This window comes from Homo sapiens, chromosome 20, assembly GCF_000001405.40.
Source record: "Homo sapiens chromosome 20, GRCh38.p14 Primary Assembly".
Classification (NCBI taxonomy): Eukaryota; Metazoa; Chordata; class Mammalia; order Primates; family Hominidae; genus Homo; species Homo sapiens.
The window spans coordinates 36,491,956-36,516,594 of NC_000020.11; the positions used below are offsets into that span (position 1 = coordinate 36,491,956).

Consider the following 24,639-nt stretch of genomic DNA (forward strand, 5'->3'; position numbering starts at 1 on the left):
TCCAAGCCCGTGGACTGATGTGGTCAGTGCTCTGATGGAGATTCCCAGGTGGAAGAAGAGACGGCAGTCGGGAGGCTCTCAGAGGAAGAAATTCTGAAACTTGTGGGTAGCTGAGGGAAGCCTTCCAGGCAGAAGAACAGTATGTGTGAAGGCCCCAGCGGGGGAGGAAGTGGCCGGGGTGAGGTATTGGAAGAGGTGGGGGTGAGGTATTTCCTCACTATATTTCCTGCATTCACACATTTGAAATGAGAGCTCTCCTGTACAAGGTTAGGTCCCATCTCCCTGCTTCAGGGAGGCAATACTCAGAGCTGAGGGGTGCCTGTCCCCCAGGGAGCCCCTGAAGCCCCAAAATCTTGTATGCTAGACAACACCACTTATCTGGCTGTGGCCTGTGTGTGCCTCAGGAGACAGAGGATCCAAGATCAGCTCACTTTCCTCTTACCGAATCAGGCCTGGACTTGCTTTCTGGCTGGGTTACTTTCCCTCTGATGACTGGCTGCCTAGGCCAGGGCTCAGGGCGTCTGAGGGTGCTTAGTAGAACTCTGGGCCCAGCAGCTCTGAGAGAGAGGCTGGAGGGTCAGTCCTTTGTCCAGACCCTGACTGTGGGCAGTCCTGTTGTCTTCCATTGGGAAGAAGGTGTGCCTCTTCCCACCAGAACCTCGTGAATGCTGCATGCACACTCTTCATGGACAGTGTCATCCCTACCCCACAGATGGGAACAAGGACTCTGGTGTCACACAGCCTAAGCTAGGCTTAGTGCCCAGTTCTTGCTCCCCCATACTAACTGCTACCCTCCTAAGGGAGATATACTCCCTTAAACATTTTGAGCAAATTGAGGTTGGCTTCCGTTTTCTGATCTAGGGCAAAAAACCCCATTTGTTTGGGACTTTAGGTCAAACAAATCCATTCCTTTCCTGAAATCCTCAGTGAGTTAGTCCTGTCTCTGCTGGTGGCCATAGATTTCAAGAGTTGCTCTAAACAAACGTCCAGGTCTTGGTGGAAACTGTCCCTGGGCCAGTCAGAGAACCAGCCCAGACTCCCTGCCAGTGGCTGGGGAGTGGTAGAAATTTGGCTCGCCCCCCCATCCCCACCCTACCCACAGGCCCAGTTGTGTCTGTACCAGAAATGAGGAGTGATGCCAAGCCTAGGCCTGGCCCAGCCTTAGCTTCTGCAATGCAACCTATGTAATCACACCCATTTTACAAGGAGGAAACTGGGGCCATACAACAGGTCAGTGACAAGAGCTGGGACCTGAACTCAGGCTAGTCTGGTTCCACACTGCCCCCTGGCTTCTGGACCCTTACCACCAAAATGACTCTGAAACTAGAGAATTTCAGGATTTCAGACATCAGTGGAGAGGGCATTCGCAGAGGGGATCTTCCCTGCAGTCACAGTGATGGGAGGCTCCACACCCATCCTTGAGGGAGAAGATGAATGGGGCAGTGCTTTGAGTTTGTCAGGGGCTGTGTGAATGCAGTATGCTGTGACCCAGTGAGAATCCCTCCCGCCCTTCCGGAACAGAGGAGAGTTCTGAGAAGCCCAGAGGGCAAGCAGGAGCCTGGAAGCCAGGCCTCTGCCTCCGTCGAGGCCCTTTCTACTCCCACAGTCAGATTTTGGTTTGTTGTGCCCCTGCAGACTGGTCCCAGGGCCCAGCAGGATGCTGTAGGGATGTGGTGATGAGTGAAGGCCCCAAACACCGGCAGCCCAGCCCAGCCCAGCCCAGCGAGGAGGGGCCCAAGGCCTGGAGAGCAGAGTGAGGTGGCTGTGCCGTGGAGCAGATGCGGCTGCTGCTTACTCCTGCAACTTTGAGCAAGTTGTATAACCTTCCTGAGCTTCACGTGCCCCACCTGCAAAGTGGGCATAGTCACGATCTCCACCTCACAGGCTCTGAGGCTTACGTTAGAAAGCCGCAAAGCTGCTGAGCACAGCTTAGTAAATGACCCAGCTTTTGGCCCGCAGCCTGTGCCTTGTGGCCAGCTGAACGCAGTTGCTCCTCTTCGCTGAGCAGGCGTGTCCCTCCTCTCTCAGGATGATGTGTTGGAGAGCCATTCTTCTTTTGACCTGAGCCCTGCCTCCTGCCTCCCTGCTGCCTTTCTTCTGGCCCAGAGAGGTAGCTGTCCTTCTGCCTGTACACTGCTCTTAGGTTGGTAACCAGAGATGCAGGTGTCTGTCTGGGGGATCTCTGAGTTTTCTCAAGGCCTGAGCAGGACTGGGACATTTCAAACAGACGAGTAGGAAGTGAGTGCTCCTGGCTTGGAACTCAGAGCACTTTGTGGCCTCTGGACTAGGCTGGGCACAAGGCACAGCATCCAGTTCCCTGGGCTTAACATCGTGGCATGTGTTACTTTCAAAGAACTCACTGCAGAGCTGTTTCTCTGCTGATGAGGGCTCCTGGCTTTTCTGGAATCCACTAGAAGGCCTTGGTTTCATAGATGTCTATTGGATGAACAGATGGATTATTTTAAATTAAATTTTATTTTTAGATAATTGTAGATTCACATGCAGTTGTAAAAAATAATACAAAGGGATTCTTCATACCCCTTACTCGATTTCCCTCAATAGTAAGACCTTGCAAAACTAATACATTCTCACATCCAGAATATCGACAGATACAATCCACCCATCTTATTCAGATTTCCCCAGTTCCACTTGTGTGTGTGTTAGTGCTATGCAGTTTTATCACATGCATACATTCATGTAACCATCCCCACACTCAATACAGGACTATTCCATCACTTCATACAAGGGTCCCTCTTGTTACCTTTTTATAGCCACACCTACTTCCCTCCTTGCCCTCCCCTTCACCCTCTCCCTAGTGACCACCTCTGCCCTAGCAACTACTAATCTGTTCTCTAGGTCATTTCAAGAATGTTATAGGCCAGGCACAGTGGCTCACACCTATAATCCCAGCATTTTGGGAGACTGAGGCAGGAGGATCCCTTGAGTCCAGGAGTTCGAGACTAACCTGGCAACATAGTGAGACCTCATCTCTACCAAAAGTAAAAAAGTGGTTTTTTTTTTTTGTTCGGTTTTTTTTTTTTTTTTTTTTTTTTTGAGACGGAATTTCGCTCTTATTGCCTAGGCTGGAGTGCAGTGGCGTAATCTTGGCTCACTGCAACCTCCGCCTCCCAAGTTTAAGCAATTCTCCTGCCTCAGCCTCCTGATAGCTAGGATTACAGGCGTGTACCACCATGCCCAGCTGCATGTTTTATTTTTATAAGAAAATGCCAATGTATTTTCCATGACAGTAGTATCACTTTTTCTCCACATTCTCAATAGCATTTGATGTTGTCACTTTTTAGCCATTCTGATAGGTTATGTGATGGTATCTCATAGTGGCAGATGGATGGTTTCTACAGTCCTTTGTCCACAGCTCCTGTGATACTGGGCCTTGTTTTGTGAGTTGCCTCTGGGCTATCACCATCACCATGATTGTAGCCCCTTGAAGGCACAGTTTATCTGGCTCATGGGCCCAGACCAGGGTAGGGGCTTGTTTCAGTCCTCACAGGGCAACAGGCAGTTGGAGTTAAGGTGCTGAGAAAGGCACTAGATCCAACGTCACCCTCCCAGCAAACAGCTACTGTTGGAAAAGCACTTTCTATTGCCAACAGAGTTCTCATCGTCTGAGAAGCAAGCAGTGGGCCTTTGGTGTTCTGGGCTCCTGCTGTGGGTCAGCCCCTGGCTGGGGTCAGGGTGAGATTCAGAGATGGTTCAGGTTCCTACCCATGGCAGGTCCTGGCTCTGGGAATCTCAGTGGAGAAAGTGGAGAACAGGGAGTTGGACCAGTGGAGAACAGGGAGGCAGACCACTGTACGGGTTTCACATAACGAGAAAGTGTTGGGGTGGGAATGGCAAGATAGGGAAAGGGGTTAGCTGGACCCTGAAGGATGTGTGTTTTTTTGTTTGTTCATGTGTTTGTTTGTTTGTTTGTTTTGAGATGGAGTTTTGCTTTTGTTCCCCAGGCTGGAGTGCAATGGTGCAACCTCGGCTCACTGCAACCTCCACCTCCCAGGTTCAAGCAGTTCTCCTGCCTCAGCCTTCCGAGTAGCTGGGATTACAGGCATGCGCCACCACGCCCAGCTAATTTTGTATTTTTAGTAGAGATGAGGTTTCTCCATGTTGGTCAGGCTGGTCTCGAACTCCTGACCTCAGGTGATCTGCCCACTTCAGCCTCCCAAAATGCTGGGACTACAGGCGTGAGCCACTGCGCCCGGCCAGATGTGTTCATTTTTGACCAGGTGGAGAGGGGGCATCCAAGCAGAGGGAATAGGGGAGAGGGAAGGTGGTGTGGAAGGAAAAGACCAGGGGGAGCACTGAGTCTCTCAGTGACCTTGAAGATAGCAAGGTTAACCATTCCTTAGCTGTTTTGGCATCTGCTCTGTTGTCACCACCTCCCCACGGCACGGGTCAGGGTCTGTCACAGCCTCGTGGCCCCACGCACTTCACCTAGTACATGCCCCTGCTGGATAATAAGGTTTGTGTGTGACTGATGTGGGGGATATCTTTGGCCAGTGGTGGCATCCCCTCAAGACTTTGTCTCGAATGAGGGTGGGTAGGGCCTGTGTGTGTCTGTCTTGGTCATTGCAGTCTTGACCCTCGTTCTCCCTGCTCCAGAAATCCTTGCGGACGGAATGGCTAAGCCCAGAGCTAGGGCCAAGTCAGGCAGGGCTTCTGCATTGGAAGGGGCTTGAGAGGGTTGGGGGCTTCACCATCTCACCTCTCCCCTGCCCTTCTCTCATCCATCTGCAGGTTCATCATGCCTAGTGGCGTATAAGAAGACCCCGCCACCGGTCCCTCCACGCACCACTTCAAAGCCGTTCATCTCAGTCACAGTCCAGAGCAGTACTGAGTCTGCCCAGGACACCTACCTGGACAGCCAGGACCACAAGAGCGAGGTGACTAGCCAGTCGGGCCTGAGCAACTCGTCGGACAGCCTGGACAGCAGTACCCGACCGCCCAGCGTGACACGGGGTGGAGTCGCCCCAGCCCCTGAGGCCCCAGAGCCACCCCCAAAACATGCAGCTCTGAAAAGTGAACAAGGGACGCTGACCAGCTCTGAGTCCCACCCCGAGGCCGCCCCCAAAAGGAAACTGTCATCGATAGGAATACAAGTAGGGGCTCCTTTTGCACTCTGTGTCCTCAGCCCACTCCGTGCACCTGCCTGTGTGTAATTACATCTGGTAGAGGCCCACTAGGTCTCCTGGGAAAAGGTGGTTTGTCTCTCTATTTTGGGGGATCAGCCCCAAGTGGCCAAACCGAATTCCACCCATAGCCACGCCTCGCTGGTATCTGTCCACACGTGCTGCTGGTCAGCAGCTGTGGGCATGTGTTTCTGCTCCTCCAGTGGGTTGTCCCAGTGAATGTAGTTACACTCAGCCAGCCATCTCCTGTCCACTGTTTGCCTGTCCACTGTCTGTCTGTCCACTCCACCCTTTGCCCTGCCAGCTGACCCGTGGGAGGCGGGACTGGCCTAACAGTTCTCTAATCCAAGGTCAGCTCGGGTGCGGAGGCCATAGCCCCGCTTGGCGGCAGGAGCAGCATGGAGCATAGACGCTGTTGGGCCAGGGGCCCAGGACCCAGGGCCCTTGAGCCATGGGGGTTGCTCGAGGGGAACTTTGCCCAGAGCCCTCTCGGGCCTTGGGGACAGGTAGGTGGCTTGAGGTACCAGGCCCATGTCATTGAGAAGGGTGATGCCGGTCTCACTGCCTCCCTCCATGGGATAGGGTCCAGGCGATGGTTCCCCAGGGTTAGGTGGCCAAAGTCAGCAGGCCCTCCATAGTCATGGCACACAGCAGGGCAGGTGTGCCAGCTTCCCCTCCACTGCTTCATTGCACTCCTGCATGCACCCGATGTCAATAATCTGTCTTGTTTGCTGAGCTGGGGAAACTTGGGCCCTGCCTTGTAGTTTTTAAGAGTTTCTCTAAATCCAGATTGAGTGGACTCTCCCTGCCCTGGCTGGACCTGCAGACCAAACTAGGGCACGTTCAGAGCCATGAGGGAGGGGCAGCTACAGTGGGTGAGGGCGAGAGGGGAGACAGGGCCCCCCCAAGCCCAGGGGTTGAGTCAGGGAGGACGAGGCATTGTGTGTTGTGGCACAGGCTGCAAGGGACTCCTCCAGCCACCCCTGAGCAATTGGATGTGGCCCAGCTGATAACAAAGCACTGGAATGCAGGAGCGTGGGACACAAAGTGGAGCTTGAATGGAACAGAGAAGGCTCACTGAGCAATTTCTTGCAGTTGCCTGTATTTGTTTCCTCCAAGAGGCAGCTCTAGGCTTCCACTTCCCCATGTATAAACAGAGAGAGAGTTGGCCAGGAGACTCTGCTGCTGTTTTCTGGGCTTCTTAAGTGTCCAGTCCCTGCGCTGCACAGGTGGGATTCTCAGAAACACAGAGAGTAGCCTGATCTTCAACCCTTGGTCCTGACCACCCATATCTTTGGGCAGCCCCACCCTCTTGCTGGCCAAACCAGACGCTCTTATCTTCCCGGAAAGCCTAAGAGTTAGGACTACCCTTGATTCCTTTCACCCAGAAAATGACACCGGGATAAGGACTCTCTTAGGCCTGTCCTGGGCGTCCCATTCCCTGGATTCACCCCAGCCCCATTCTTGGTCTCATTGCAGCTCCTTGGAGATCCAGTGGTGCTGCATTCCTTGAGCCGGCTTTTGCCGAGGGGAAATGTGGCTGCATCCCTGTCCCAGAAAGCTTCCCTGGCCCCTACTTCTCTCCACAAGGCCAAGAGACTGAAGAGTCCCCAGTTTCTGAGGATGCCCTGAACCCTTGGTGCCTCATGCCCTAGATTGAGTGTGGGTTTCTCCCTCATTCTTGAGTGATGATAGGAAAGCTGGCCTGGCTGCCCCATGGCCCGGGACCTTTGTCCCAGAGAAGAAAGGCAGGCGCAGGGCATCACTGTTGTCCTGTTCCACTTCACAGGAGTGGAGGGAGTGACAGCTTTCCACTTGGCCCTGACCCCAGTCCTTCCTACTGCTCCCCAGGGCCACCCAGTGCTAAAGGTAACCTCAGCCAAGTGTGAATAACGTCCAGGGACTTCGGTGGCTCCTGTGGGTGGCAGTTTCTGAATCTAGAACTGCCGTCCAGGGTTTGCCCTTAGTGCAGGCGCCTCTGGCCTGCCCTCCAGGTTTCTGCCACAGGGTTCAGGGAGTGATCTTTGCCTCAAGACAGCCGCCAGCTTCAACTACACCAGATAACGGCTGTGGCTTTGTGTGTGTGTGTGTGTTTTCTTTCTCTTTCGTCGTCCTTTTTTTTTTTTCTCTCTGATGCGTGTGAAGGAGAGGACTAGAAGGAACGGTTCCCACCTCTCGGAGGACAACGGACCCAAAGCGATCGATGTGATGGCACCCTCCTCAGAGTAGGGAAAGCCAGTCATCTCCACCCCATCCCACCTCCCGCCCACCTGCCCGCCCGCCCGCCTGCCCGCCTCCACGCGAATGAGCAGTGCCCGGCTTAACCTGGTCCGGCCTCGGGCCCACGTGCAGTGTCCGCATGCCTCGTGTCTGTCTGTCCACACGTCCGTTTGCGTCGTCCCACTAATGTGAATTTCAGCAGCAAGTGTGGTGTTTGTTTTTTATTTTTGTCTTTGTCTCCGTGCCGTTGCTGTCGTTGTCCTTCAATAAGGTTGACTGCATTCAGCCAGTGCCAAAAGAGGAGCCCAGTCCCGCTACCAAATTCCAGTCCATCGGGGTTCAGGTAGAGGACGACTGGCGGTAAGTCGGACAGAGGTGGCGGCTGCTTCTCCCCTCTCCTCTCCCTCCCTCCGCTCTCACCTCTCCTGCTCTCCCTAACCCACTTCTCCTTGCTGGATTTCTAATAACCAAGCTGGGTTTGGGTTGCGGGTGGTGGCCCAGGCATGGGAGGCTGGGCAGGGGCGGGCGGGTGGACAGATGAGCATTTGCTCTGTGAGACCAGTCACCCACGGGGGCCATGGCTGGGCCAGGACATGGCGTCAGCTGCCCTGATGCTGGTGGTCTTCCTGGCCCCACTGCAGTAAACAGGCAACCTTATGACCTTGTCCTCGTGTGTGTGTGCGTGTGGGCTTGGGCGGGATGGGGCAAGGGCTGAGCCAAGAATGAGATGGGGGCTGTGGGACCCGCTTCAGGCGCATGGTGAGCAGATGATGCATCCGTTTCTCTGTCTCCCGTGTGTCCGGGTCAAGGCGGCCTCTGGTCTCTGGCCCTCTTGGTGACTCACTCCTTCCTGTCCCCACCCCATCCACCCCCTACCCACAGAAGCAGCGTCCCCTCTCACAGTATGTCCTCCCGACGGGACACAGACTCGGATACCCAGGATGCCAATGACTCAAGCTGTAAGTCATCTGAGAGGAGCCTCCCGGACTGTACCCCTCACCCCAACTCCATCAGCATCGATGCCGGTCCCCGGCAGGCCCCCAAGATTGCCCAGATCAAGCGCAACCTCTCCTATGGAGACAACAGCGACCCTGCCCTAGAGGCGTCCTCGCTGCCCCCACCCGACCCCTGGCTCGAGACCTCCTCCAGCTCCCCAGCAGAGCCGGCACAGCCAGGGGCCTGCCGCCGAGACGGCTACTGGTTCCTAAAGCTACTGCAGGCAGAAACAGAGCGGCTGGAAGGCTGGTGCTGCCAGATGGACAAGGAGACCAAAGAGAACAACCTCTCTGAAGAAGGTGGGTGCCACATGGATGGTCCTTGGGCAAGGGTAGAAGGTGTTGGCAGCTGGTTTCAGCTGGTGGCCAGCAGCTTCCGAACTTCTGAGTGGGGGTCTCTTAGGTTCTCTTCTTGGGCTAGTTTTTGAGCTCCCTTCTTACTTTCTTCGCATTCTTCCATCCATCCACCTATTTAACCAAACCTCTTTCCAGAAAGGGTTGCTGGTGATAGCTGTTTGTTGTGCAGGCTGTGAGGCCACCCACACCTGGGTTTGAATCCCAGCTCCTCCCTTACTAGTGAAGTAACCTTGGTCAGGTTACTCCGAGCCCCCATTTCCTCATCTGTAAAATGGAGCTAATCCTCTGCTCACTATATGAGCATGTTGTAAGGATTGAATGTGGTCGTGCATGTGAAGGGCCTGATGACCTGTCAGACACAGAGAAAAGTGGGAGCCTAATTATGCCTTCAACAACTTTTTTTTTTTTTTTTTTGAGACGGAGTCTTGCTCCATCACCCAGGCTGGAGTGCAGTGGCTCGATATCAGCTCACTGTAAACCTCTGCCTCCCAAGTTCAAGCAATTCTCCTGCCTCAGCCTCCTGAGTAGCTGGGACTACAGGCACGTGCCACCACACCTGGCTGATTTTTGTATTTTTAGTAGAGACGGGGTTTCACCATGTTGGCCAGGCTGGTCTCGAACTCCTGACCTCAGGTGATCCACCTGCCTCTGCCTCCCAGAGTGCTGGGATTACAGGCGTGAGCCACCACACTCAGCCAACAGCTTCTTACTGAGTGCTTCCTGTGTGCCAAGCACCAGGGATCCAACTGGGTCTCAATAGGGTGTGAAGAAGTTATGCTTTTATTTTCTACTTAAGTTTCTACCTATATCATGCCAATTTCCAAAAATTCCCTTGAGAAATTAGTTCAAGAAAGTGCTAGACACGTGTAGGGAGCCTAGATTCACAGGTGGTTGGAGGGGGGTTGGGTGGTGGAAGGCAGGTCCTGGGAAGCTCCAGGCTGTTGACCTGCACCCACCTGGTTCACCTGTGGCTCTGGTTCCCATTGAGCTACTCCTCCACACTCAGGAAGGACAGGTCTTCAGAGTGTCCAAATGGTTTGACACACATCCCATACATGATGGAGGGGGCCCTGAGGACAGCAGCCTTTGATGATGCAGAAGACTCATCAGAGTCATTGTTTTCACTGTCCTCTAGGCCAGTTCCCCGCTTTGATGTCACACCCACTAGTGCAGGGGAACTGTTGTGAGGAAAGTACCTAGTAACTTTTTACAATAATAGTATTTTAAAAAATCAAAACAGAGACAAGGATCAGAGAGCATTAAAAGGCTTCTAAGAGAAAACATCCAGCCCACCGCCCTACCTGGGCCTTTCCCCACTTTCAGTTTTTACTAGCTGTATATTCTGGTATTTGTCTTCATATATCTTTTAAAAAATGTGACTGATTATATTTCCTCTTTAAAATTAATCATCATTTCTATTAATTTCCTGTTACCATTGGCATAGATGAGTGTTTAGCTCTCACACAACCTCTGTCTCCCTTTCTCCCACCCTCTGTGTACATCACAGTTTATGATAAATAGTAATCAGTGTTTCTGTTTACTATGAGTATGTAAATATTGTTTATTGCAGAGCCTAACAGTATATTATTATTGCGTTTTCTTCTTTTTACATTTTGTTTTTCCTAAAACGAATTGTTTGCCCTGTTGCCACATTTAAAAAATACACTCCATTTGCTAAATTTTAAAAAAATTTTTTAAGAGACATGGCCTCACTCTGTCATCCAGGTTGGAAGTGCAGTGGCATAAGCATAGCTCACTGCAGCCTCAAACTCCTGGGCCGAAGTAATCCTCTCACCTCAGCTTCCTGAGTAGCAAAGGACTACCACAGAGTGCCACCATGCCCAGCTAATTTTTAAATTTTTTTGTAGGGACAAGGTCTCCCTGCGTTGCCTAGGCTGGTCTCAAACTCCTGGGCTCAAGCCATCCTCTTGGGTTGGCCTCCCAAAGTGCTGGGATTACAGACGTGAGCCACCACACCCGGACAACAATTTCTATATAAATATAAAAATGAAGTTAAAAATAATTTTCCCTCAGAATCTTAAAGGCACCATCATTTTTTTTATTTTTATTTTTTTGAGACAGTCTTGCTCTGTCGCCCAGGCTGGAGTGCAGTGGTGTGATCTCAGCTCACTGCAACCTCCACCTCCTGGGTTCAAGTGATTCTCCTGCCTCAGCCTCCCGAGTAGCTGGGATTACAGGTGTGTGCCACCATGCCCAGCTAATTTTTTGTATTTTTAGTAGAGATGGGGTTTCACTGTGTTGGCCAGGCTGGTCTCAAACTCCTGACCTCAGATAATCCGCCCGGCTTGGCTTCCCAGAATGCTGAGATTACAGGCATGAGCCACCATGCCTGGCCACCTTGTATTAATTTTTAAAAGTAATTTTCTCACTTCTATTTGTTCTGTTGTCTGGCTCTAGAATTTCTGTCAGTTAGTTGCTGTACCTGCTGTGTGGATCCTCAGGCTCTCACCTTTTCTTCCTCATGTTTTTTGTTGGACTTCCTCGAAGGTTTTCTTTTTCTTTTCTCTTTTTCTTCTGCCCTGTGATGGCTTTACTGAGATATAATTCACATACCACAAAATTCACCCTTTTAAAGTACACATTTAGTAAACTCACAATGGCACTTAGTGTATTCACAGTGTGGTGCAACCATCACTACTGTTTATTTTAAGAACATGTTCATTGCCCCAAAAAGATGCTCTCTGCTCATTAGGAGCCGCTCCCACAGCCTTAGGCAACCTCTAATCTTTCTGTCTCTGGATTTGCCTATTCTGGACATTTCATATAAACAGAATCATACCATATATGGCCTTTTTTTTTTTTTTTTTTTTTTTTTTGAGACGGAGTCTCGCTCTGTCTTCCAGGCTGGAGTGCAGTGGCGCGATCTTGGCTCACTGCAAGCTCCGCCTCCTAGGTTCACGCCATTCTCCTGCCTCAGCCTCCCCAGTAGCTGGAACTACAGGCGCCTGCCAACCACGCCCGGGTAATTTTTTGTATTTTTGGTAGAGACGGGGTTTCACCATATTAGCCTGGATGGTCTCAATCTCCTGACCTCATGATCCGCCCACCTCAGCCTCCCAAAGTGCAAAGTGCTGGGATTACAGGCGTGAGCCACTGCACCCGGCCCCATATTTGGCCTTTTGTGTCTGGCTTTCACTTGGCATGTTTTTGAGGTTCATCCATGTTGTAGCATATGCCAGTATTTCATTCCGTTTTGTTGCTGAATAATATTTCATTTCACACTACATTTTATTTATCCATTCTTCTGTTGATGGACATTTGGGTTGTTTGTACTTTTTGGCTATTATGAATAATACTGCTAGAATATTCATGTACAAGTTTTTTATGGATGTATATTCATTTCTTTTGGAGTAGAAATGCTAGGTCAAACTTCGATTTTTGTTTTCCTTTTTTTGTTGTAAAATATATATAACATAAAGTTTACCTTTTAACTGTTTTTAAGTGTGCAATTCAGTGGCATTAATTATATTCACAATATTGCACTACCATCACAACCATCTATTTCCAAAACTTTCATCTAAAACATAGAATCTACCTATTAAACAGTAATTCCCCATTATCCCCTCTGCCTAGCCGCTGGTATCCTCTACTTGCTGTGTCTGCGAATTTTCCTCGTCCTTTTGTGTTTGGCATGTTTTGAAGGTTCATCCATGTTACAGCATTTTCATTTTTATGGCTGACTAGTATTCCATTATGTGTACAATATATACCACATTTTGTTCATCTGTTGCTGGGCACTTGGGTTGTTTCCACCTTTTGGCTATTGTGAGTAATGCAGCTATGAAGACTGGCGTGTTTGAGTACCTGTTTTTAATTCTTTGGGGAGTGAAATTGCTAAGTTATCTGGTAACGCTATGTTTAACTTTTTGAGGAATGGCTGAACTGCTTTCCATAGAAGCTATACCATTTTACATTCCTACCAGCAAAGCACGAAGGTTCCAGTTTCTCCACATCTTCACCAACACCTGTTATCTTCTGTCTTTTAAAAAAATTCTAGCCATCCTAACGGCCATGAAGTAGATGAAGTAATATCTCATTGTCATTTTGATTTGTATTTCCCTTATGATATTGAGCATCTTTTCATGTGTCTGTTGGTCATTTTTATGTCTTCTTGGAAGAAATGGCTAAGGCCTTCGCCCATTTTTTAATTGGGTGGTTTGTCTTTTTGTTACTGAGTTGTAAGTCCTTTATATATTATGGGTGCTAGACCCTCATCATATATATGATTTGCAGATACTTTCTCCCATTCTGGAGACTGTCTTTTCACTTTCTTCCTGGTGACTTTTGATGCACACAGGTTCTTTTTTTTTTTTTTTGAGACGGAGTCTCGCTCTGTTGCCCAGACTGGAGTGCCGTGACGTGATCTTGGCTCACTGCAACCTCCGCCTGCTGGGTTCAGGCAATTCTCCTGCCTCAGCCTCCTGAGTAGCTGGAATTACATGTGCGTGCCACCATGCCTGGCTAATTTTTTGTATTTTTAGTAGAGACGGGGTTTCACCATGCTAGCCAGGGTAGTCTCGAACTCCTGACCTCATGATCTGCCTGCCTTGGCCTCCCAAAGTGCTGGGATTACAAGCATGAGCCACCACGCCTGGCTGACGCACAAAGGTTCTTAGTTTTGATGAAGTCCATTTTTTCCTTTTGTTGCTTGTGTCTCCACTTATTTTTTTAAATTATGAGCATATATTAATAAAAATTTAAGATAAACAGTTGAGGCACTGAGAAGCTGACTGGCAGTTTTGTGTGGGTAGGGCTTGTTTTAAGTAGGCTTTCTATGGACCCCTTCTTAGAATAGTGGTTTTAGGCTGGGTGTGGTGGCTCATGCCTGTAATCCCAGCACTTTTCGAGGCCAAGGCGAGAGGATCTCTTGAGCCCAGGAGTTCAAGACCAGCCTGGTCAACATAGCGAGACCCCCATCTCTATCGAAAATATAAAAATTAGCCAGGCATGATGGCATGTGCCTGTCATTCCAGCTATTCGGGAGGCTGACAAGCGGGGAGGATCACTTGAGCCCAGGAGGTCGAGGCTGCAGTGAGCCAAGATTGGGCCACTGCACTCCAGCCTGGGTGACAGAGTGAGACCCTGTCTCAAAAGGAAAAAATCATAAGGAAGAGAAAATATACTTACTGTTCATTAAGCAGAAGTGGATCGTCATAAAGGTCTTCCTCCTTGTCTCCACATTGAGTACACTGAGGAAGAGGAATGGGGAAGAGGAGGAATGTTGGTCCTGCTGTCTCAGGGGTGGCAGATGGGAAGAAAATTGATACATAAGTAGATCTTTGCAGTGCAAACCTGTGTTGTTCAAGGGTCAGCTGTATTTCACCATATATTCAATATAAAACTATTGCAATATCTTATATTCCTTTTCATAGTAAGTCTTTAAAACTTAGTGTATATTTTACTCTTACAGCACATCTTAATTCAGACAAGCAACATTTCAGGTGCTTACTAACGACATGTGGCTAGTAGCTGCTGTATTGAGCACAGATTGAGACAGTAAGCCTGGGGCAGGGTGCACAGATTGCTTCATGCCAATAGGGTGATTCTGTGGATTTGATTCCCTTTAACTTTCCTTTACTATACTTAATTCTAGTTATTTCTAGAGCAAGAAGATGTTTACCTGCAAAGGAAATTATGTCATACCAAACGATATTGGTATTACCTTCCTGTCTACCTGGGAGGGAAGAGGTCTTTTATGATGTTTCTGGATAACCACACCAGAACTCCTGCAGTTGAACATGAACTCTAGAGGGGGCCCTTTTCATAGCCCTGTATCAGTTACTGTAACTTACAGACAGATGGAGTCACATAGCTCATGTCCCTTATCCAAAATACATAGGTCAGGGAACTCAGCAGTGCCCACCCACCCAGGTGGCTGCCTGTATTGACTGAATTTTGCATTGCCCTCTTGTCTAAACCTGAAGAACTTTAAACTTGACAATGTTCTTTTCAGATAATTTATTTTTCTGAATTGTGGTTAAATATATATAACATGAAAATTACCATTTCAACCAAGTTTACAGTCTGTGGCATTAAATTCACACTGTTGTATAACCATCACCACCGTCCATCTCTAGAACTTGTTTTGTCTTCCCCAGCTGAAATTCTGTACCCATTAAACACTAACTCCCCATTCCCTCCTACCCCCAGCCACTGGCAGCCACCACTCTACTTTGTCTCTATGAGTTTGACTATTCTAGCTACTTCATGTAAGTGGAACCATGCAGCATTTGTTCTTCTGTGACTGGCGTATTTCACTTTGCATAATGTCTTCAAGGTTCATCCATAGCATGTGTCACAATTCCCTCCCTTGTTAAGGCTGAGTAATATTCTATTGTATGTAGAGACTACATTTTATGTATCTATTCATTTGCCAATGGATAGGTGGATTGCATCTACCTTTTGGCCGTTGTGAATAATGTTTCCTGTCTCTTAAGAATGATACTCTTCATTGAAATTGCAAGGCTCTCTGATTAAATTCTGTACATCCACTCAAGGCCCTGACTTGTGGGCACAAAAGTTGTTTTTTTTTTGTTTTGTTTTGTTTTGTTTTTGTGAGACAGAGTCGCACTCTGTTGCCCAGGCTGGAGTGCAGTGGTACAATTTCGGCTCACCACAACCTCCGCCTCCTGGGTGCAAGTGATTCTCGTGCCTCAGCCTCCTGAGTAGCTGGGATTACAGGCACATGCCACCACGTCCAGCTAATTTTTGTATTTTTAGTAGAGACAGGGTTTCACCATGTTGGCCAGGCTGGTCTTGAACTCCTGACCTCAAGTGATCTGCCCACCTCGCCCTCCCAAAATGCTGGGATTACAGGTGTGAGCCACCACACCCAGCCGTGGCCACAAGTTTTAAGGTCACCCCTCTTAAATCTGTGAGGAACTCCACCAAGGAGATACCATTCGTAGCTGGGCCTCAGAGAATATCTACAGGCTGGGGGAGAGGAAAGGCATTCCAGATGGAGGGAGCAAAGACACAGAAGCAGGAAGGGCATAACAAGTCACGCCAAACCTAATGGCACAAAACAACCATTTTATTATGGTCACAGATTCTGTATGTCAGCAGTTCAGAAAGAGCGTGGCAGGAACATCTTGTTTCTTCTCCATACAGCCTGGGGCTTCAGATGGGAAGGCTCAAGGGCTTGGGGTGACATGACACCTGAGGTATGGAATTACCTAAAGGTAGTTAACGTGTGTGCCTGGCACTTAAACAAGGATGACTCAAAGGCCAGGACTGCCAGCCACAGCCCCTGTGTATGTCCCTCCACGTGCCTTTGCTCCCTCGCAGCATGGCAGCCTTCTTGCATGGTGGCTCCAGGCCCAAGTGTGTGTTGAACCCTGAGGCTGCATCCTTTTCTGACCTAGCCCTGGAAGTCACGTAGTAACTCTTCCACTGTATTTGACTGGTTACAAGCAAGTCACAAGCCCAAGGCGGGGCTTCAGGTTGAAGGAGGGAAGTATTAGACCCTACCTCTTCATAGGGAAGTATCAAGGTTTCAGAAGAGGAGGAGGGACAGGAGAGACTGTTGGGGCCTTCAGAAAATACAATCTGCCACAGCAAAGAAGCAGTTACATCCACTGTTAAGCTGCAGTAAAAAGAACAATTTTATATTGAACGCTATGTCTTGAACACTCTGTCTACTTTGATACATAGAGATCTAGTTCATTTCTGTTAAATTCATACACATATACTACATTCCCTTTGACCATTTTCCTACTGATGTTTCAGGGTTCTTTTTTTTTTTTTTTTTTTTTTTGAGATGGAGTTTCTCTCGTTACCTAGTCTGGAGTGCAATGGCGCGATCTCGGCTCACCGCAACCTCCACCTCCCGGGTTCAAGCAATTCTCCTGCCTCAGCCTCCCAAGTAGCTGGGATTACAGGCATGTGCCACCACGCCCAGCTAATTTTTTGTATTTTTAGTAGAGATGAGGTTTCTCCATATTGGTCAGGCTGGTCTTGAACTCCCGACCTCAGGTGATCCGCCTGCCTTGGCCTCCCAAAGTGCTGGGATTATAGGCGTGAGCCACTGCACTGGGGCCATTTTGGTGTTTTCAGCGTTTCATCAACACTCTGGTGCATGTCTCTCTGCCATGAGGTGGGAGAACTTCTCTGGAGTACTTACCTTGGACAGAATCACTGGATGGGAGGAAACACATATTTTAATAAATGCTGTCTGATTGCTCTCCAAAGAGGTTATATCAGTTTATCCTTACACCAAGTGTTTGAAAGTTGCCATTTCCCTAGTATACTTACTGATACTTGATCTTGTTGGACTTTAAATCACTTACTTGGTAAGTGAAAAATTAAAACCAGTTGATTTATTTCACATTTACTTGGTTACTAGAGAAGCTGTGCATATTTTAATTTTATTTATATTGGCCATTTAAACTTCTGTGAATTACTTGTATACTCTATTCATTCTTCTATTGGATTCTCAGTATTTTTCAAATTGTCTGGGCATGGTGGCTCATGCCTTTAATCCCAGCACTTTGGGAGGCTGACGTGGGAAGATTGCTTGAGTTCAGGAGTTCAAAACTAGCCTGGACAACGTAGTGAGACCTCATGTCTACTACAAATGAAAATTTAAAAATAAACAATTGGCCAGGCGCAGTGGCTCATGCTTATAATCCCAGCACTTTGGGAGGCCGAGGCGGGAGGATCACCTGAGATCAGGAGTTTGAGACCAGCCTGGCCAACACAGTGAAACCCCGTCTCTACTGAAAATACAAAAATTAGCCGGGCGTGGTGGCAGGCGCCTGTAATCCCAGCTACTCGGGAGGCTGAGGCAGGAGAATCGCTTGAACCCAGGAGGCAGAGGTTGCACTGAGCCGAGATCACACCACTGTACTCCAGCCTGGGTGACAGAGCTAGACTCCATCTCAAAAAATAAATAAATAATAATAATAATAAATTAGCTGAGCATTGTGGTGTACACCTGTAGTCCCAGTTACTCAGGAGACTAAGGTGAGAGGATTGCTCGAGTGTGGGAGAGTAAGGCTATAGTGAGGTATGATTGTGCCACTGCACTGCAGCCTGGACAACAGAGTGAGACCCTGTCTCAAAAAAACAAAAAGTACTTTAAAAATCAATTTGTAGTTCTTTATATATATGGATAGTTACACTGTGCCTATTATAATATGACGAATATTTTCTGCCACATTATTGCTTGTCTTTTTTTTTTTTTGAGACAGAGTTTTGCTCTTGTTGCCCAGGCTGGAGTGCAATAGCGTGATCTCAGATCACTGCAACCTCTGCCTCCCGGGTTCAAGCGATTCTCTTGTCCCAGCCTCCTGAGCAGCTGGGATTACAGGCATGCGCCACCACGCCCCACTAATTTTGTATTTTTAGTGTTGGTCAGGCTGGTCTCGAACTCCTGACCTCAAGTGATCCGCCTGCCTCAGCCTCCCAAAGTGCTGGGATTACAGGCATGAGCCACCGCGCCTGGCCTGAAGTCTCTTTCTTTCTTCAGTGTTTAGTGATGCAGATTCCATACTTACGCAGGGGTATGTTTCTGGGCTCTGTTCTGTTCCTCTTTTGGCTGCTTCTATGTTAATACAACTATTTTCATTTATTTGTTATTTAATTTTATTTTTTTGGCGAGTCTCACTCTGGCACCCCATCTGAAGTGCAGTGGCATGATCTCAGCTCACTGCAACCTCTGCTTCCCGGGTTCAAGCGATTCTCCTGCCTCAGCCTCCTGAGTAGCTGGGACTACAGGTGCATGCAACCACACCTGGCTAATTTTTTGTATTTTTAGTAGAAATGAGGTTTCGCCATGTTGGCCAAGCTGGTCTCAAACTCCTGACCTCAGCTGACCCACCTGCCTCGGCCTCCCAAAGTGCTGGGATTACAGGTGAGAGCCACTGAGCCTGGCTGACTCCTGGCTAATTTTTGTATTTCTACTAGAGATGGGGTTTCACCGTGTTGGCCAGGCTGGTTTGGAATTCCTGACCTCAAGTGATCCGCCTGCCTCGGCCTCCCAAAGTCCTAGGATTACAGGTGTGAGCCACTGCGCCCAGCTGACACCTGGCTAATTTTTGTATTTCTAGTAGAGATGGGGTTTCACCATGTTGGCCAGGCTGGTTTGGAATTCCTGACCTCAAGTGATCCACCCACCTCGGCCTCCCAAAGTGCTGGGATTACAGGAGTGAGCCACCGTGCCCAGCTGTATTAATATAACTTTCAATTACCATGGCTTTGTAGCACGCCTTGGTATCTGGTGAGTGCTCCTTCTTTATCCTTTTTGTGCAGAAAGAAAAACTATTCTTGTATCTTCATTCTTCCAATATAAATTATAGAATTTGTATATCAAGTTCCTCAGAAAAATTCTGTTGGGATGAAAACTGGAAGTAGAGTAAGCTTATAGATTAATTGGGGAAGAACTGATAACTAAAATATTGAATCTTCTCAACTATAAGTCAACTTTATCACTCCATTTATTCAAGAATCCTATTATATCCTTCTATCCAAGTTTGAGTAATTTCTCTATGAAGGTCTTTCATATTTTAATTTTCATTTAATTTAATTTTTTGAGAAAAGGTCTCACTCTGTCACTGAGGCTGGAGCACAATGGCATGATCTTGGCTCATTACAGCCTCAGCCTCCTGGGCTCAGGTGATCCTCCTGCCTCAGCTTTCCAAGTAGCTGAGGCTACAGGTGTGTACCACCATGCTCAGCTAACTTTGAGATTTTTTTGTAGAGATGGGGTCTCACTATGTTGTCCAGGCTGGTCTTGAACTCCTGGGCTCAAGCAGTCCTCCTGCTTTAGCCTCCCAAAGTGCTGGGATTACACCCATGAGCCACTGCACCTGGCCTCCTGCATATTTTTATTAGATTTATTCCTTAGTACTTTCTAGTAGTTTTTGTTGAGTTTTGTGAAATTGATCATTTAAAAAATATTTGCGGCCGGGTGCAGTGGCTCACTCCTATAATCCCAGCACTTTGGAAGGCCGAGGTAGGCAGATCATTTGAGGTCAGGAGCTCGAGACCAGCCTGGCCAACATGGTGAAACCCCATCTCTACTAAAAATACAAAAATCAGCTGGGTGTCATCGTGGGCACCTGTAATCTCGGCTACTTCTGAGGCTGAGGCAGGAGAATCACTTGAACCCGGGAGGTGGAGGTTGCGGTGAGCCGAGATCATGCCACCGCGCTCCAGCCTGGGCGACAGAGGGAGACCCTGTCTCAAAAAAAAAAAAAAAAATGCATAGTCTAATTAGTCACAGCTAGTAGGTAGAAATGTTTAATCCTTGTATGTTGATCTTGTGTCCGGCAACCAAGAGAATCCAACATGGTTCTCTTGGATTTGCATCATAAATGATTATATTGTTTGCTAAGAATGCCAATTTTGTCTCTCTGATTTTTTTTTTTTTTTTTTTTTGAGAGAGAGTCTTGCTCTGTTGCCCAGGCTAGAGTGCAGTGGCGTGATCTCGGCTCACTGCAAGCTCCACCTCCCGGATTCATGCCATTCTCCTGCCTCAGCCTCCCAAGTAGCTGGGACTACAGGTGCCCACCACCTCGCCCAGCTAATTTTTTGTAATTTTAATAGAGATGGAGTTTCACCGTGTTAGCCAGGATGGTCTTGATCTCCTGACCTCGTGATCCGCCCACCGCAGCCTCCCAAAGTGCTGGGATTACAGGCGTGAGCCACCATGCCTGGCCCCTTGTCTCTCTGATCTTATTGATATCTTGTCCAACTGTATGGCAAGGTGCTTCAGGACAGTGTGGAATAATAGGTCCATATCTCTACCTTGTCCTGACCGTCATTCACTCAGTGAATATTTATTGAGTACCTACCTTATGCCAGGTACTGTTGTAGCTTCTGGGGATGTCGCAGTGAACAAAACAAAATCCCTCCCCTCATGGGAAGGGATACCAAATAACCAAATGTGGTAAGCAGTAACCAGGTGAGCAGTAACAAATAACCAGGAAGGGTAAGAGCAGTATAGTGTCCACTGCACAGGCAGGGTCGGTGTTGCTGTTGCATTCAGGGTGGTCAGGGAGGGCATCCCTGGCCAGGTGACCTGTGAGCAGAAACCTGAAGAGAGGGAGAGAGGAAGTCTGTAGAGATCTGGGGAGAAGAACTTTTCAGGCAGAGGGAGCAGCACCTGACTGATGGGCAAGTGCTTGACATGCGCAAGGCTGAGGGAAGCCACCAGTGGGCTGCAGCCATGAGCCAGAGGAGAGGGATGGGAGATGAAGTCAGACTGGGGGCATCTCAGATCACAGGGGTCTCAGAGGCCCTTTTTTTTTTTTTTTTTTTTTTTTTTTTTTTTTTTTTTGAGATGGGGTCTCACTCTTTCACCCAGGCTGGAGTGCAGCGGCGCAATTTTGGCTGACTGTAACCTCCACCTGCCAGGCTCAAGCAATCCTCCCACCTCAGCCTCCCAAGTAGCTCGGACCACAGGCCCGCCGCACCTGGCTGGGAGTTTTACCAAGTTGCCCAGGCTGGTCTTGAACTCCTGAACTCAAGTCATCTGCCCATCAGAGGCCATTATTAAAGGCTTGGTTTTACTCCAAGAAGAGCTCATCAGTTCTGAGTGCTGCAACTTGACATACTTTTTTAAAGAATTAATCTGGGCCGGGCGCGGTGGCTCACGCCTGTAATCCCAGCACTTTGGGAGGCCGAGGCGGGTGGATCATGAGGTCAGGAGATCGAGACCATCCTGGCTAACAAGGTGAAACCCCGTCTCTACTAAAAATACAAAAAATTAGCCGGGCGCGGTGGCGGGCGCCTGTAGTCCCAGCTACTCGGGAGGCTGAGGCAGGAGAATGGCGTGAACCCGGGAAGCGGAGCTTGCAGTGAGCCGAGATTGCGCCACTGCAGTCCGCAATCCGGCCTGGGCGACAGAGCGAGACTCCGTCTCAAAAAAAAAAAAAAAAAAAAAAAAAGAATTAATCTGGCTTCTCTATCCAAATGAGAACCTCTGTGTACCTTCCATTGGCACACAAATGGAAGCTGGGAGATGAGTTAGGAGGATTTAACAATCTGTGTAAGAGAGACTTTAATGGAGGAATCAGACTGTGGATATATCTTGAAGATAGAACAGGATTTCTCGACAGATTAGATATGGGTAAGAGTAAGGGAGCCAAACATGGCTTGGAGTCTGAGTGAAGAAGAGGATGGCATTGCCACTGAAATGGGGAAAACTATAGGAAATGTCGATCTGGGGGAAAGTCAGGAGTTTGGTTTGGAACATGTTAAATTTGATATGCTTTGTTAGACATCAGAATAGAGAAGTCAAGCAGGCAGTTGGATATATGAGTCTGGGGATAGGTCCAGTTTGAAGATTCTATCTGGGAGTCACCAGAGTATAGATTAAGATGAATAAGATGAGAATGCCTAATAAGTAGAGAAGACAAGCTGTCTAAAGACTGATCCCAGAGACATGAACACTTAGCGGTGGAAAGGGAGGAATAAACAGCAAGATCAAAGGAAGAGCAATTGGAAGCCACCTGAACAACGTTCTCAAGGGAGAATCCAGTGTCAAAGGCAGCTGAAGGGCTCACCAAGCCAGATCTAGAAAGGCAGAGGTCATTAGATACATAAAGGGCCATTTTGGTGGAATTGTGATGGCAGAAGCATGGGTAAGGTAGCCTGAGAGGAGGAGGATTAAGAGAAGAGAAAACAGGAGAGTAATTGGAGACCACATGCATGGATTTTCCTGTACAAGGAAGCAGAGAAATGGAGGGATGTAGGGTCAAAGGAGACAGCTGTTTCGTTGTTGTTGCTGTTGTTTTGAGATAGGGTCTCACTTTGTCACCCAGGCTGAAGTGCAGTGGTGTGATCTCAGCTCAATGCAGCCTTGAACTCCTGGGCTCCACTGATCCTCCCACCCCAGCCTCCCAAGTAGCTGGGAACACAGGGGTGCACCACCACACCTGCCTAATTAAAAATTTCTTTTTTATAGAGATGCAATCTCGCTTTGTTGCCTAGGCTGGTCTCAAACTCCTGGGTTTAAACAATCCCCCCATCTCAGCCTCCCACAGTGTTAGGATTACAGGCATGAGCCACCGCGCCTGTCCTTGTTTTGTTTTTTTAATGGAGCAATATAAGCATGTTTATATGTTGCTGAGAATGACCTTGTTAGAGAAAGGGAGCTTATTATGCTGGAGAGAAAACAGGCAACTGTTGGGGTTATCCTTAGGTGAGAAGGAATCGAATTAGTGCCCAAGTAGAGAACAGATAGCTTCTCCACAGTGACAGGAGAAAGGCCATGTCTGAGGAGAGGTGAGGTGAGGCAGATGGGAGCAGAGTCATCACCTCAGGGTAAGGAGGTGGAGAGGACGCGTAGGACGTCTCTGGAGAGCAGATTTGAAACTGGCATCCAGGAGAGAGGAGGCCCACCAGTCACTCCAAGGACCACTGAGATTAGGTGTGAAGGCAGAACTGGAATGTGGGAGGGATGCGTCCATCCAAAAGATGAGCTTGAGTTTACTGTTTTCCATTCATTGCATGTCTGTATCACACCACTTTCTATAAAATGGTTTGTCCATTTCTCCTTAAAAAACTTTTGTTTTATATATTTTGAAGATATTGGATGGATCAAGTTTAGAATTGTAATATTCCTGGCAGATGTTCACTGATCCATTCTGTTTTTCAGAATCTCTGTTTGTGTTTGCCTAAGAGTTATATGTATTATGACTATTACAGTAGCAGACTTCCTTTGATTAGTGTTTGTCTGGTATATCTCTTTCCATCCATTTACTTTTTACCTTTCACTGTCCTTATTAATCATGTCTCTTGTAATCAGCATATACCTGGATTTTATGTTTTATCCAGTTTCCTGATTTTTATTTTAGAAATAGGTAGTGTAGTCCATTTTTACGAGGTGACTTCTATATATTTAGGTTCATTCTTACCATGTTATTTTGGGGGATTTGTGCTTTTTAAATGTATTTTAATTTATTTATTTAAATAGAGATGGTCTCTCACTATGTTGCCCAGGCTGGTCTCAAACTTCTAGCCTTAAGCAGTCCTCCTACCTGGGCCTCCCAAAGTGTTGGAATTACAGGCGTGAGCCACTGAGCCCAGCCTCCTTTTCTGAGGTGCCTTTTTTCCTCTTTCTTCCCTTCTTTTGGATTAACTCCTCTCCTCACTCCTTTTACAAACCCTACTAGTTTTGAGGCTATATTAATTGGGATTACATTTGCCTACAAATAACACTAAAACATTTCTAAAAAGTGATTTAAACAAGACTGTTTATTTCATTCTCAAGAATGTCTCAGATAGTGATGGTGGAGCCACAGGCTTTTTTGTTTCCTTGCAGTTTGATGCCATTAATTGGCTTTCATTGATAAGATCTTCTCAACTGTCAGAGTGCTGCTGGATCCCAGCATCCTAAGTGCATTCCAGCCAGCAAAGGAACCAACAGCAAAGGAGAACAGCTGGCCCACGCACTGCTTCTGCTTCCACTGCTTTGGCCAGAATTTAGACATACAACTATGCATATCTTGCTGCAGGGGAGTCTAGGAAATGCTTGATTCCAGGCTATGTGCCCAGTTAAAAATAAAAGGTCCACACAGATCACTTGTTTTCAGAAGCCTATGCTGTGCTTAGTAGACAGTGTGCACATTATAGAGAGTTGGCATAATGCTAACAACAGAATCCTTATTCTAATCCTGATCCTAGTATAACTTGTTGTAGGATTCTAGTACTTCGCATGCCATGCCTCAGAGTTTTAATGTGACAGTACTGGCTGGGCACGGTGGCTCATGCCTGTAATCCCAGCACTTTGGGAGCCGAGGTGGGTGGATTGCCTGAACTCAGGAGTTCGAGACCAGCCTGGGCAACATGGTGAAACTCCATCTTTACTAAAATACAAAAAGTTAGCGGGGCGTGGTGGCGTGCACCTGTAATCCCAGCTACTTGGAAGGCTGAGACCGGAGAATCACTTGAACCCGGGA

The 24,639-nt window shown here is 48.1% G+C and overlaps 1 protein-coding gene and 1 long non-coding RNA gene across 18 annotated transcripts in view, besides 1 other annotated feature; one reads left to right on the forward strand and one right to left on the reverse strand.

Moving 5' to 3' along the window:
• Positions 1-24,639, forward strand: part of DLGAP4 (DLG associated protein 4) — a 222,295-nt gene that overhangs the window by 185,617 nt on the left and 12,039 nt on the right. For 7 of the 17 annotated variants that reach the window (NM_001365621.2, XM_011528689.3, NM_001388262.1 and 4 more), the window contains 3 exons: positions 4,750-5,111; positions 7,633-7,721; positions 8,244-8,656. In NM_001365621.2, coding sequence (NP_001352550.1) covers positions 4,750-5,111; positions 7,633-7,721; positions 8,244-8,656 — 864 coding nt within the window. Of the gene's footprint in view, positions 1-4,749; positions 5,112-7,286; positions 7,367-7,632; positions 7,722-8,243; positions 8,657-24,639 lie in introns of those variants that run through there. The other 10 variants (NM_001388265.1, NM_001388260.1, NM_001388271.1 and 7 more) reach the window with 5 other exon arrangements.
• Positions 5,477-5,976: an enhancer, noted in NCBI's record as "H3K4me1 hESC enhancer chr20:35125835-35126334 (GRCh37/hg19 assembly coordinates)". NCBI's record gives its function as "activates a minimal SCP1, AML or CMV promoter by ChIP-STARR-seq in naive H9 embryonic stem cells {active_cell/tissue: H9 hESC(naive)}" and the evidence as "EXISTENCE:reporter gene assay evidence [ECO:0000049][PMID:30033119]".
• The window catches only part of DLGAP4-AS1 (DLGAP4 antisense RNA 1), a 65,574-nt gene continuing 56,681 nt past the window's right edge, over positions 15,747-24,639 (reverse strand). Inside the window, exons 3-5 of the long non-coding RNA NR_109939.1 lie at positions 18,925-19,077; positions 16,857-16,870; positions 15,747-16,319 (exon numbers count right to left, since the gene is read on the reverse strand). This is a non-coding gene — a long non-coding RNA (DLGAP4 antisense RNA 1). The remainder of the gene's footprint in view (positions 16,320-16,856; positions 16,871-18,924; positions 19,078-24,639) is intronic.